General features: G+C 39.5%; 1 protein-coding gene across 6 annotated transcripts in view; it reads left to right on the plus strand.

Moving 5' to 3' along the window:
- The window catches only part of PPP1R21 (protein phosphatase 1 regulatory subunit 21), a 74,621-nt gene that overhangs the window by 16,766 nt on the left and 44,659 nt on the right, over positions 1-13,196 (plus strand). For all 6 annotated transcript variants that reach the window (NR_024188.3, XR_007069367.1, NM_001135629.3 and 3 more), the window contains exons 4-9: positions 595-696; positions 2,223-2,387; positions 2,564-2,622; positions 3,607-3,701; positions 7,406-7,458; positions 7,962-8,111. Coding sequence is in view for 4 of the 6 variants with exons in the window: in NM_001135629.3 (NP_001129101.1) it covers positions 595-696; positions 2,223-2,387; positions 2,564-2,622; positions 3,607-3,701; positions 7,406-7,458; positions 7,962-8,111 (624 nt within the window). In the remaining 2 variants the exon portion in view is untranslated. The remainder of the gene's footprint in view (positions 1-594; positions 697-2,222; positions 2,388-2,563; positions 2,623-3,606; positions 3,702-7,405; positions 7,459-7,961; positions 8,112-13,196) is intronic.

Below are 13,196 nucleotides of genomic sequence, written 5' to 3' on the forward strand. Positions count from 1 at the left end.
TTCTTCTATGTAGAACGAGTTCATATTAGTAAAAATTTAAAGGAAGGGATTTTAAAATAATCTTTGAGAATTTTCCTATTTATTTATAATAGCTTTATTTTATATATTTTTTAACTTAGAAATTTATATGAACTTTTGTATAAACTTACCTTTGTGGATGCTGTTACAGAATTTATTACAATTTCTTATGGAGTTTAACAACTCCGACTCATGAAATTGCTATAACTCTCATTTCCCAAACCAAAAGATCAAATTGAAATGATATTTATGAGCTTATTTTATATTGCTGGAGCTTTCTAGGTCTGCTCCGTCCTCCAGCAGAACTACTCCTGAATTCATCTGCAAAGAATAGTAAGCCTTATCTGTTCTTTTCTCTCTCTTTTTAAAGCTTTCCTGCTCCTTACAATATTTGCAGTTTCAACTTGTGTCACATAGGAAAAGTTAAATGATGAACTGTATAGCTTTTGCAGGATTGTTTGAGAATGGTGAACACATAGAAGAGACAAGCTTCTAAGATGATAGAGAATCTGTGTACCTTAGGATGTTTCTCTAAAGGATGAAAGTTATGTGGACATAACTTATTCTTTCCATCAGAAAAGTGGAGAATCTTCTTCTCAGTTGAGTCAAGAGCAGAAGAGTGTCTTTGATGAAGATCTGCAAAAGAAGATAGAAGAGAATGAACGGTTGCATATACAAGTGAGAAAATCTGTTTTTCTATGTGAATTAAAAAATGGGTCTGTGATCTGTTAATGTGGAAAAGCTAATGCACATAGAGTGTTTTGTGTCTGCGTGGGTATTTTAATGTCTTCTATGGTCTTCAAGTATATATGTCACTGTCACTTATTCATTTCTTAAATATCACACAGTCTTAATGTGGATGTGTGCTTTGAAGTATATGCATTTGTTCAGAAGACAGCAGAATAGCTTTATAACTTAACAGTGCAGAAATATACTGAGCATTATTCATTTTATATGGGAAGTGATTACATGTATCATTTAAATGGGAGCTTACCAATAAATGGTATTTGCTTTTTTCCCTCCCCCTCCCTTTTTTTTTTTTTTTTAACTGATGTTTAGTTTTTTAATTTACTGATGTTTAGTTGGTTCTTATCCCTACCCCTGTTAAACTGTAAGGTCTCTGAGGGTATGAACCATGTATGTTTCCTATGCCTAGTCCCAGGACAGTGTCTTACTTATGTCAGGCACTCAGATATTTATGGAATGTTGAAAAGTTAGTGCCTGCCCCCAAACCACTGAGCATATTCTAAGATTCATAGTGGGCTGGGCGCAGTGTCTCATGCCTGTAATCCCAGCACTTTGGGAGGCCAAGGTGGGCGGATCACGAGGTCAGGAGATCGAGACCATCCTGGCTAACACGGTGAAACCCCTTCTCTAGTAAAAATACAAAAAATTAGCCAGGCGTGGTGGTAGACACCTGTAGTCCCAGCTACTTGGGAGGCTGAGGCAGGAGAATGGCGTGAACCCGGGAGGCGGAGCTTGCAGTGAGCCGAGATCAAGCCACAGCACTCTAGCCTGGGCGACAGAGTGAGACTCTGTCTCAAAAAAAAAAAAAAAAAAAAAGATTCATAGTATAGTGTATCCAACTATAACCTCCTTACTTATTTTTTTTTGGTCAAATGGTAGGAAACACACACACACACACACAAACAGACACGCTTTTCAGTCTTTGAAAAAGTTGTTTTTGACCACAGTGTATTTTATATCTAAGTATTCACAATTCTTTATTAGTATTGGACTCTAATTACAGGAAAGAGCTTTACCTGTTTTAAGAATAACACCTGTTTTAATTTTGATTATTTTATGTGAAAGTTAGCTTAGTAGAAAAGTTATACTCTGATCAATTGAATTCTATGTATGCCAGACATTGTTTAAAACAGAAATTCATGAGACTGAGAGGTAGGAGGTGCAGGCTTTGGAGTAGGTTTCCTGTGTTCAAATCTCAGTTCTACTATATTTTAGCTGTGAGACATTAGACTAGTTATTAACTCTTTTAAGCTTGAGTTTCCATATTTGTAAAGAGGAATAACAGTAGCTACTTCTGATATCCTGTGAGGATTTAATGAGATAATGCCTGTGTGGGTTTAACATAGTCAGCATATGGAACCATGTGGAAGTTGCTCAGTGAATAGTCACTGCTGTTATTTTTCTCATTTATGTATATTAGGATATTGTGAGAAGAGAAAATGGTCTTCTCTTTTTAGTTTTTTGAAGCTGATGAGCAGCACAAGCATGTGGAAGCAGAGCTGAGGAGTCGACTGGCCACTCTGGAGACAGAAGCAGCCCAGCACCAAGCTGTGGTTGACGGTCTCACCCGGAAGTACATGGAAACCATTGAGAAGCTGCAGAACGACAAGGCTAAACTAGAAGTAAGCCCCATTGTGAGAGCACACTAAAAAATAGTTACAGCTTTTGTATTAATAAATTGTCTATCCACTTAGAGTTAGTCATTTCTGGTGAGACTTTTGCCTGCAGGGTCTTACTAAGTGTGCTCCTATCTGTCGTAGCCTGAGCCATCTGTGTTTCTTTTTCTTCTGAAATTCAGGTGAAATCTCAGACTCTAGAAAAGGAAGCCAAGGAATGTCGACTTCGAACGGAAGAATGGTATGTGGAAACTTGAATTCCAAGAGGGTTCTGAAGCAAGACTCAGAAGACATGGGTTTTGGTTGTAGCAGCTCCTCTGTTTTAATTGTCTTACATTTAAAAGGAGAAAATGGGAGTAATCTACAGGGTCCTTTTCAATTCTGGGATCTCCGGGGCCCTAAGCATTCTTGATAGAGTGGCCTGTGTATTAGTTCTCAGCCTGCAAGGGTTTGGGGCTGTGGCAGATCGTGTTCTGGAGCTCTTGCACTGAAGACTGGAGACTTTGTGTTTGAAACTACTCTAAACAGAAGGGGCCTCTGATAGTCCCAGGAAGGAAAACTGATAATCACCATGCCAATCTTTTAATGGTACATTTTGAATAAAATAGAGGTTATGCGATCTAATTTGGAGATACATAAATTTTAAAATCAAAATACTAGTAATGCATGGTAAAGGTGTACTCCAACATTTATTTGATAATATTTTAGTTTTTAATAGGATCAACTAAGTGAATTTCTCATATCGATTTTGTTGCATCGTTAGAATTACATGCATGATTTAGATGTGTACATAATTGAACCAAACACAGAAAGAGTTCAAGGGGAAAAGAAGGCTAATACAGTATGTACTTAAAAAAAGTCTATAGTGATACTAGTGAATACTTATGTGTTGTAACGAGAACATTTGTGATTACTTTGAGCTTGGGGAAATATTATTTCTAAGATTACTTTGAGCTTGGGGAAATAAATGTAAGGTTGGCTAAGACACTCGTACCATGATAAATTCCTCCAAACTTCCACATCATTCTCCAGAAGTCCCTGGGACTTGAGAAGCCAGGTTAGCGTTTTTGTTATCTTCCTCTTTTAACAACTCTCTGCCAAGAGTATCCCAGATGTCAGGTGCAGTTCTCTGGAAGCCTACTACCAGCTGTTGAGGTAACAAATAAATGAGGATTCACTCAGTGATTGGTGATAATGTGGTTTTGTATTTTTTTTTTTTTTGCAGTCAATTACAGTTAAAGACTCTTCATGAAGATTTGTCAGGTAGATTAGAGGAATCCTTATCAATCATCAATGAAAAAGTACCTTTTAATGATACAAGTAGGTATTATGTACAGTTTTCCATTATTTGTAACTTTGAATCTCTCTGTGGTAGCCAACTAATTAAAGTAATTTTTAATCTTTTGGGCAAAAAATTTAATTGGCCCCACAGAAGATTGCTTTCTCTTTGTTCATTTGATCAGCCGTGGTAATCATATTTAACAGGAAGATTTTAAATTGTCATATAACTACTCCAAAGCTGGTCTTCTTGGAAGAAGCCCAAATCCACATTTTTTGATTGCATGTATTTAGCATTTTCCAAGATAAAAAACAACCTGCACATAAATAGTTGAATATTTGTACAAGAAAAATTGTTGATTGGGGTGGGGGAAATGAGGCTTGGTGGTGGGAGTTAAATCATCTTAAAATTATGACTTACCCCTTGGTCAATTCCCAGCAATAGCTACGAAGCTAACTTGGTTAAGCCTTGCTTCCTATTCACCCTGGGAATGGTTTGATAATTTACATTCCCAGGAACAACAAAAAGTTAAAAAATACTACTTTACATGTGTAATAGGTGCCAAATTTGCAACCTTTAGGTAAGAAGTCAAAACCTCAAAAGCAAAGAAAATATTTGCTTGTTTGGATTTTGAAACTTACATTCAAATTGATGCACATTTCCTTTTTCTGTAATCACATGATTGAAATTAATATTTTACTTCCCCTAAATTTTTTTAGGGAAGACCTAAAAAAAGAGGAAGAAAAAAAAAGAAAAATAGCAGTTTGATTTAAGATTAAAATCAGCCCATGTCATTATTGTATCAAAAATTTAAATTCCCCTTTGAAAATAACACCTGCTTCTAGCTTCTACATTAATGTAAATACTACTGGATTCACTGGATTTGAAACTGTGGCATTACATTTTCCCTTTAAGCCTTGTCTCAATCATTAGGTTTTAATAATTTCCTTCTGAATCATGGATTTATCCTTCCTTTTCTAATACTAGTTGTCACCCTGTTTTAGGTCCCTTTCTTGTCACATGTGGACTATTACTTTTAGTCCTGAAATATTTAAAGATCATTTGCTGAGTGCCTAGACAGGTCAGTAGCATAGGGGATGCAAAAATTGGTAAGTCAAAATTTCTACCTCAAGCAGTTTATAGCCTCGTAAGGCAGAGATAGATGTAGAAATGTCAATAATATAAACTAGACTGTGCCATAAAGAACCTCCTGGGGTTTCAGAGAAGGACATGTTACTGCTGGTGGCATGGTGTGGGGAAGCCTTCCCAGAAAAAGGGTGCTTTGAGCTGGGCCTGGATATGTGAGCAGGTTTTATTGGGCAGAGATAAGGGTAAAATCTAAGGAATTACGTGAAGTATGGTATATAGGAGAAAAGGTGTCATCATGCCCTCAGGAGCAGTAATCCAGTATGACAGGAGGCTTAGGGTGGGTGGGATGTGCAGGGCAAGGACATGTAAGTTCTGAAAGGTATGGTGGGACTGGACCCTAGTGTTCTGGTCTAAGGACTGGGAACTTCATTCATAAGGCCATGGGGTTGTTGGAGAAGTTTTTGAGCCAGGGAACATCATGTTGCTATATGTGTACTCACAAGGTTAATCTGGCAACAGAGTGTAGATTACCTAGGAGTGGGACAAGGGAGTCAAAGACTATTGTGATGATAGTTTTGGCGTACTATTGTGGAGGCTTAGCCTGGATTGGGGAGATGTGGAAGATCTTGTGGAAGGAGAGGGAGCAGACTGGTCCTTTCAAGGAGACAAGGGAGAAAGAGGCAGTCATGGGGAAGATGGTGATGCAGTTGACCGAAAGAAAAGAGGTAGACAGGAGCAGGTTTATGGGAGAGACAACGAGGTTAACTTTGTTGTTGTTTAATCTTCTGACAGATGGGTTCATATGTATCTATATAACTGCTGATGTATGCCTTTCTAAATGAAAGACTAGACTTTGGCAGAGAAACTGATGTCAACACTATTGGGCTGGAGGAGCCCTCATGTTGGGAGTGGTGGGTGCACAGTGCAGTCAGGCCTGTGCAGGGTCCTTGGTGAGTTCTCCATCCCAGTGATCAGGAGGCAGAGGGGAGCTGTGGAAACGGGGTGAGGTAGAAGCTGGAGAAGGGAGTTTCAACCTGATGGTGCAGGTCAGTTCTGCGCATTGCTGTGGAGAGGTCAGAGGGTGATGTATCAAGGCGACTGGGTTTGGTGACTGGATTTTGTGGCCTCGAGAGGACTAGTATACTTTGCGAGGAGCGCTTCTGTGCAGGGTGTAGGTGGACACTAGATTGCCAGCACAGGGAGTTGAGGTGAATGGGTGCTGAGGAAATAGGCAGAGCAGTGCTGTTTTTTGAGCAGTGGGAATGAAGGAAATGGAGAAGCATGAGAGCCTGACAGACGGGCAAAGTGAAAGAAAAGGCTGGGGACAGGAGTCAGGGCAGAGAATTAAGTGTGATTAAGTAATGGAAGAGACTCACTGTGGACACAAGAGTTAAATGAGCTGCAGCAAATGCTTTATTTGTAATGAGGAGATACTGAAGATAGAAGCAGGGAGTGATTATGTCCTAAGGTCCTGAGGGGGTCAGAAGCAGAAGGGCCCAGGAGGACGGTTAGCTGAGGAAAGGATATGCAAGCAGTAGACCGAGGTGGAGGGTGGGGAGTGTAAGAACTCTTTTGCTTTGGCTGTGATTTTCTTGGTGGAGTAGGGAGAGGCCATCCTATCCATTGGGTAGTGGAGAGGAGAGGAGGAATGGTATTAGGAGCTTAAAACAGAAAAGGTTTGGGATAGATGCCATGGGAAATAAAATAGGCACACGGCAATGAAATTGTGGATTGCTGAGTAGAGTTGAAGCCCCCTGGAGTTAGGCAGAGTAAATTGTAGTGGACTTTACTCGGGATTCGTGTTAGCAAAAGCGTTGTTGAAACAATGGACCAGGCTGGGAAGCAAAACAAGCAAGGCTGAAAGATGGCTGATAGAAGTGTCCAGAGGTGTTGGTGGATGGGAGATCAAGCTGGTAATGTATAGCCCAGTGAGTAGCAATGGAGACATAAAAGGGAACTGGGTGACTATGCCACAGGAACATTCTGAATCGTATTTTGGCACTGGGGTCATTCTGACTGAGAACCTGGGCAGAGAAGGGCAGGTTTGAGTGGCTGAAGGGATGAGTAGAGATGAGGAGAGATGCAGCTCATTAAGGAGGAGTTTGAGGAGGTATGGCTAGGTAGGAGGAAGCTGCCAGAGGTTAGTAACAGACCAGGGTAGAGAGGAAGACTGAGAAAGATAGTGATACCATCCAGGAAAGTTAGGATTGAGTCATTGGGATCCACAGTGGCAGACAGTGATAGATTTTTCCGGTAATGTAGTGTCAGGAAAACAGTGGTATTTTTTGCTGATTAGCGTGGCGGCTTTGTGGAGGGTTATTTTAGAAGGGAGAATGACTGAAAACAGCAAGAACGTCATGAGCCTTTCTAAGTAGTCCTGATAAGCCTGAAAGCAGTATTTGAAATGATTTCTTAGAAATGGAAACACTGGATTTGTTTGGGTTTTTTTTAAGCCTGAAGTTAAAAAAAGATGGGAAGTATTACTTTATCTGAGAAACCACTGATTCTATGTAAATTCCATTATTCTGTATTGTTGATCATTTTAAATTCTTATGTAAAGTTGATTTTGCTTCAGAGCATTCATTATTTTGCATTTAAGTTATTTTCCAGTATATGTGAAATGAGAGACTTAATGTACATTATTTTTCTTCTGTAGAATATAGTCAGTACAACGCTCTGAACGTTCCACTCCACAATAGGAGACACCAGGTAAAGGATGAAGTACATGTTTTTATTTTCAGTTATATATACATCAGACTTTCCAGAAACAAGAATTAGTTGTGTTTGGACCTCTGTTTAGTGCATTCAGTCATTGCATTTAACTGTTGCTTTACGTGTTTCTCATACATTTATTCAAATGTAGCTTGCTTTTTATTGCATTCATAAGTAACACAGATTTTTGCTATCTCCCTTGTCTGATAACATTAGAACTAAATTATGAGATGCATTAATGTTTTGAGCCATACTTTTTTGTGGATTGGTAGACCTTATACTTAAGTGGTCTGGGTTAAGTGCAGGAGGTGTATTTGCCAAATTGGTGGCTTTCTAATTTACTTAGATAGGAATATTAAAATTCAAGTGGGAGCAGATGAATTTAAAGTAAGGAATAATCACACTAGGATTCAAATGTTTTCTCCAGATCAGACTCAATAAAGTTCTTTTAGGATAATAATTTGAGAGTTGACCTTAACTATATATTTTTCATTTTAAAGCTGAAGATGCGAGATATTGCTGGGCAGGCCCTGGCTTTTGTTCAGGATCTTGTGACGGCTCTTCTAAACTTTCATACCTACACAGAACAGAGGATTCAAATTTTTCCTGTTGATTCTGCCATTGACACTATATCTCCATTGAATCAGAAGGTAAATTTAATTCAGGATACATTTTGTTTGCCCTGAACAAAATAGGGAGATATTGTTTGTTTTTAGACCTCTTCTGTGCACCATCCAAGTACTGCAAAGGACATGGAAAAAACCCAAAAAGCATAGTTTTTACTCTCAAAATAAAATATGGCAAAAATAGAGATTCTTAAGAAATTAAATTCTAGGGAAGTGTATTAGTCTGTTTTCACACTGCTGATAAAGACATACTGGAGACTGAGCAATTTACAAAAGAAAGAGGTTTATTAGACTTACAGAGGTTTATTAGACTCCACATGGCTGGGGAGGCCTCACAATCAAGGCAAAGAGGAGCAAGTCATGTGTTTCGTGGATGGTGGCAGGCAAAAAGAGAGCTTGTGGAGGGAAACTCCCATTTTTAAAACCATCAGATCTCGTGAGACCCATTCACTATTGTGAGAACAGCACGGGAAAGACCCACCCCCATCATTCAGTCATCTCCCACTGGGTCCCTCCCATAACGTTTGGGAACTGTGGGAGCTAGAAGATGAGATTTGCATGGGGACATAGAACCAAACCATATCAGGGAGGTTTTTTTTTTTTCTTTTTTTGAGGTGGAGTCTCGCTCTGTTGCCCAGGTTGGAGTGCAGCAGTGTGATCTTGGTTCACTGCAGCCTCTGCTTCCTGGGCTCAAGTGATCCTCCCACCTCAGCTTCCCAACTAGCTGGGACTACAGGCGTGCACCACCACACTGGCTAATTTTTTTTTTCTTTTTTTTCCCTATTTTTAGTAGAGCCAGGGTTTCGCCATGTTGGCCAGGCTGGTCTTGAACTCCTGACCTCAGGTGATCTGCCTGCCTCAGCCTCCCAAAGTGCTGGGATTACAGGTGTAAGCCACTGTGCCTGGCCCTTGGGGAGTTTTTAAAAGACCTCAGTGTGAGCGAGTGAGTGGTATGGCCAGTAAGTGGTATGAGATCACCGGGGAATGGAGGTCACTGTAGGTGGTAATGTCTGGGAAAGATTCTTTGGGGATTTGAATGGGTCTTGAAAAATTAGCAAGGTTTAAATAGGAGGAGAGAAGTGGGATACACTTTTTCCCCCAGAAGAGAATGACATGAACAAAATCATGGAGCAGGAAAGCATAGGGAGTGTGGGGGTTGGGAACAGGGTGAGGCATGGGGAGGGAATAATGAGCAAACTGTGTTGGCTGAAATGTGAAGTCCTCAGAAGGGGAGGTATGGAAAGGAAGGTTGAAAGAGAAAAAATGGCTCCAGGTTCTAAAAGGCCCCTAAGGGCAGGCCAAGACATAGACCTTCACTTTGTTTGTAGGATTGAGGCCTTTATAGCTTTTTGATCGGGGGTGACATAAAAGTGCCATTTTATTGTCGGAAAAATTAATTTGCTGGCATTTCTCTCCCTGATTGTACTCACAGTGTAACTTTCATCACTGGGCATGTTTAGGAGTAAAACAACCTGTGTGGTATAGTTGACCTTTTTCCTTCCTGCTGAGTTATGGAGTGGGAGACACACTGCTTATCCAGTTGAGCTTGGGGGGCATTTTCAGGGTTTGTGAGGTTCAAACAGGGTTTAAATGTCACTTTCTTCAATCCATGTGCCTTTTTTGGGCCATTAGATTTTGCTTCTTTCTTTCCCTTTTTTCTCCCCTGCTAATTCTAAAAAACAATTTAAGGTAGCTTACAAAATTTCATTTAACCGAAAAGGATAAAATAAATGTTGTGAGTATATTAGCTATGTATTGCTATGTAATAAATTACCCCAAAACTTCATAGTTTAAAACAACAAACATTTACTATCTCACAGTTGCTGCGGGTCAAGAATGGAGGGGCTAGTTAGCTGGCTCATGATCTCTCATAAGGTTTCAGTCAGGATGTCACTGGAGCTGGGGGATTTGCATCCCAGGTGGCCGACTTACATGCCTGGTGAGTTAGTGCTAGTAGTTGGCTGGGAACCTCAGTTTCTTATTGCCTGGCTCTTTGAGTGTCCTCATAAATGGCAGCTAACATTTCTCATAGTGAGCGATCTAAGAGCAAGGTGGAAGCCACAGTGCCTTTTGACATAGCCTAGGTAGTCACGTATCATCACTTCTTCAGTATCGTATTGGTCACACAGACCAGACCAACCTTGAAACAATGTGAGAGGGTAGTACACAAAACCAAAAATACCAGGAAGTGGAGACAATTGAAGCCATCTTAGAAGCTGACTCTCACAGGGTGGAAATTGAGGGAAATTGCTATACATGTGTGCTGTAAGTGCCTCATGATGTGGCAGTCTGAAATATGAGTCATGCCATTCGTCCTACATAACCTGATTCTTATTCCCTGCTTCTTCTGTGCATCATGCAGTATTTTCAGGGTCTGAACAGTGTTTATGTCTGTGGGTCCCCTACGTGCCTATTAGTGCAGCAAAGACTTGGACTCAGGAGTTAGACTTCCTGGGTTCCCAGTCCATTTCTGCCACTTTCTCAGTTATGTCCTCTTGGGAAATATACTTACTCTCTCTGCGCTTCCGTTTTCTCATCTTTAAAATGGGAGATAGAATACCTACCTCACAGGTAAGCGTATTTGAGGATTCAATAAGATAATACATGTAAAGCACTAAAAACAGTGCGTGGCATGTAATACTAGCACCCAATAAAGATTAGCTCTTAGGATCATCATCGTTATGTCTTACACATAGGAAGCCATCATTAGGTGCTTGGCTTTCATCAATTTTGGTCTGACTCTACACGTCTATTGAAGTTTGTAAAAATTAAACATTGGGCCTTTGAAATGTTCTTTAATATCACTGTGGGAAAAAGCTTTCAGAAGATCTGGATAGGGAAGACAGTACTGCAACATTTTAATGTAGTTATGCTTTCTTTTATACTTCCTGTAATATTAAAAAATATTTTCTGACCAGACACAGTAGCTCACACCTGTAATCCTAGTACTTTGGGAGGCTGAGGCGGGTGGATCGCTTGACCTCAGGAGTTCAAGACCAGCCTGGGCAACATGGTGAAACCCCGTCTCTACCAAAAAAAAACAAAAATTAGCCAGGTGTGGTGGCTTGTACCTGTAGTCCCAGCTACTTGGTGGGCTGAGGTGGGAGGATCCCTTGAGGCCAGGAGGCAGAGGTTGCAGTGAGCCAAGACTGTGCCACTTCATTCCAGCTTGGGCAACAGAGTGAGACCCTGTCTCAAGAAAAAAAATGTATGTGTGTGTGTGTGTGTGTGTGTGTGTGTATGTATATATGTATGTGTGTATATATATGTATAAGTCCGTCTTCACGCTGCTGATAAAGACTTGAAAGACGTATCTGAGACTGGGAAGAAAAAGAGATTTAATTGGGCTTGTAGTTCCACATGGCTGGGGAGGCCTCAGAATCATCGCGGGAGGCAAAAGACACTTTTTACATGGCAGCGGCAAGAGAAAAATGAGCAAGAAGCAAAAGTGGAAACCCCTGATAAACCTGTCAGATCTTGTGAGACTTATCCACTATCATGAGACTAGCCCAGGAAAGACTGGCCCCCATGATTCAATTACCTCCCCCTGGACACCTCCCACAACATGTAGGAATTCTGGGAGATACAATTCAGGCTGAGATTTGGGTGGGGACACAGCCAAACCATATCAATATATTTGAATTGTGTGTGTGTGTGTGTGTGTGTGTGTGTGTGTGTATGTATATATATACACACACACACATATATATATAGAGCATATATATATATAGCATATATATATAGAGCATATATATATATAGCATATATATATAGAGCATATATATATAGAGAGAGAGCATATATATATAGAGCATATATATATATAGAGAGAGCATATATATATATAGAGCATATATATATATATAGAGCATATATATATATATATAGAGCATATATATATATATATATATATATATAGAGCATATATATATATAGAGAGAGAGAGAGCATATATATATATATATATGCTAACCAGTATTGGATAGAATATACTATCCAATACTGGTTCTTTGTCCATTATTGGAATTTTATTTTAGCTTGTTGCCATGTTATACCCACATAGTGAGAATCAAATATATTAATCTTAATTTGTTTGAGTCATTTCATTACTTTGAATAATTCATGTATTTCTCATTACTTTACCTTTGGTGCTTTGGCCTATAAAAGATCCTATGTGATTTTTGTAATAAGTCTGTGTTATTGAAGGAGATTCAGAAACCATTTGTTAAAAGATGACTGGAGTGTTTAAACTTGTTCATAACATCATAAAGTAGACCTTTAGACTTGTAAGCTTAGAGTGCATTATATTATACAGCTCTAAAGATTGAAGCCCAAAGAGATTAAGTTACCCAGGGCCATGTGTCTGTGTAGTTTGTAGTGGATGGGGTCAGTTGAATCACATTTCTGCAAAATGAGATCTTACATTTCTATACTGAGAAATTGAAATTTGAGCTATTATGTAACATTAGATAATTGAGATATTTAATAAATGAAAATAATCTTTTTGCCTATAAATTTTCTAAATGCCTATAGGATTTTTTTCTGAAGCTATTCTTCATACTGAATTAGTCCCTTGTAAATATTAAGGTTATCAGTGACAGTTATAAAAAGTTATTAAGCTGGGCATGTTGGCTCACACCTGTAATCACAGCACTTTGGGAGGCTGAGGTGGGTGGATCACCTGAGGTCAGGAGTTCAAGACCAGCCTGGCCAACATGGTGAAAGCCCGTCTCTACTAAAAATACAAAAATTAGCTGGGCGTAGTGGTGAGCATCTGTAGTCCCAACTACTTGGGAAGCTGAGGCAGGAGAATTGCTTGAGAACCCGGGAGGCAGAGGTTGCAGTGAGCCAAGATCCCGCCACTGCACTCCAGCTTGGGGGACAGAGTGAAACTCTGTCTCAAAAAAAAAAAAAAAAGGTTTCTGTATCCTCATTTTGATAATTACATCCTTGGAATTTGTTAACACCAAATATCGTATACATTAAAAATAAGCTTTCCTCAATAGGCTTGTTTTTTAAAAATTGGGTATATAACACAAAAATTTTTGTCGTACAGTCTTGATTTTCAAATCTTTTTTGTTTGTTTGTTTTTATACTGGGACCTCTATG

This window comes from Homo sapiens, chromosome 2 (genome assembly GCF_000001405.40).
Source record: "Homo sapiens chromosome 2, GRCh38.p14 Primary Assembly".
Lineage (NCBI taxonomy): Eukaryota > Metazoa > Chordata > Mammalia > Primates > Hominidae > Homo > Homo sapiens.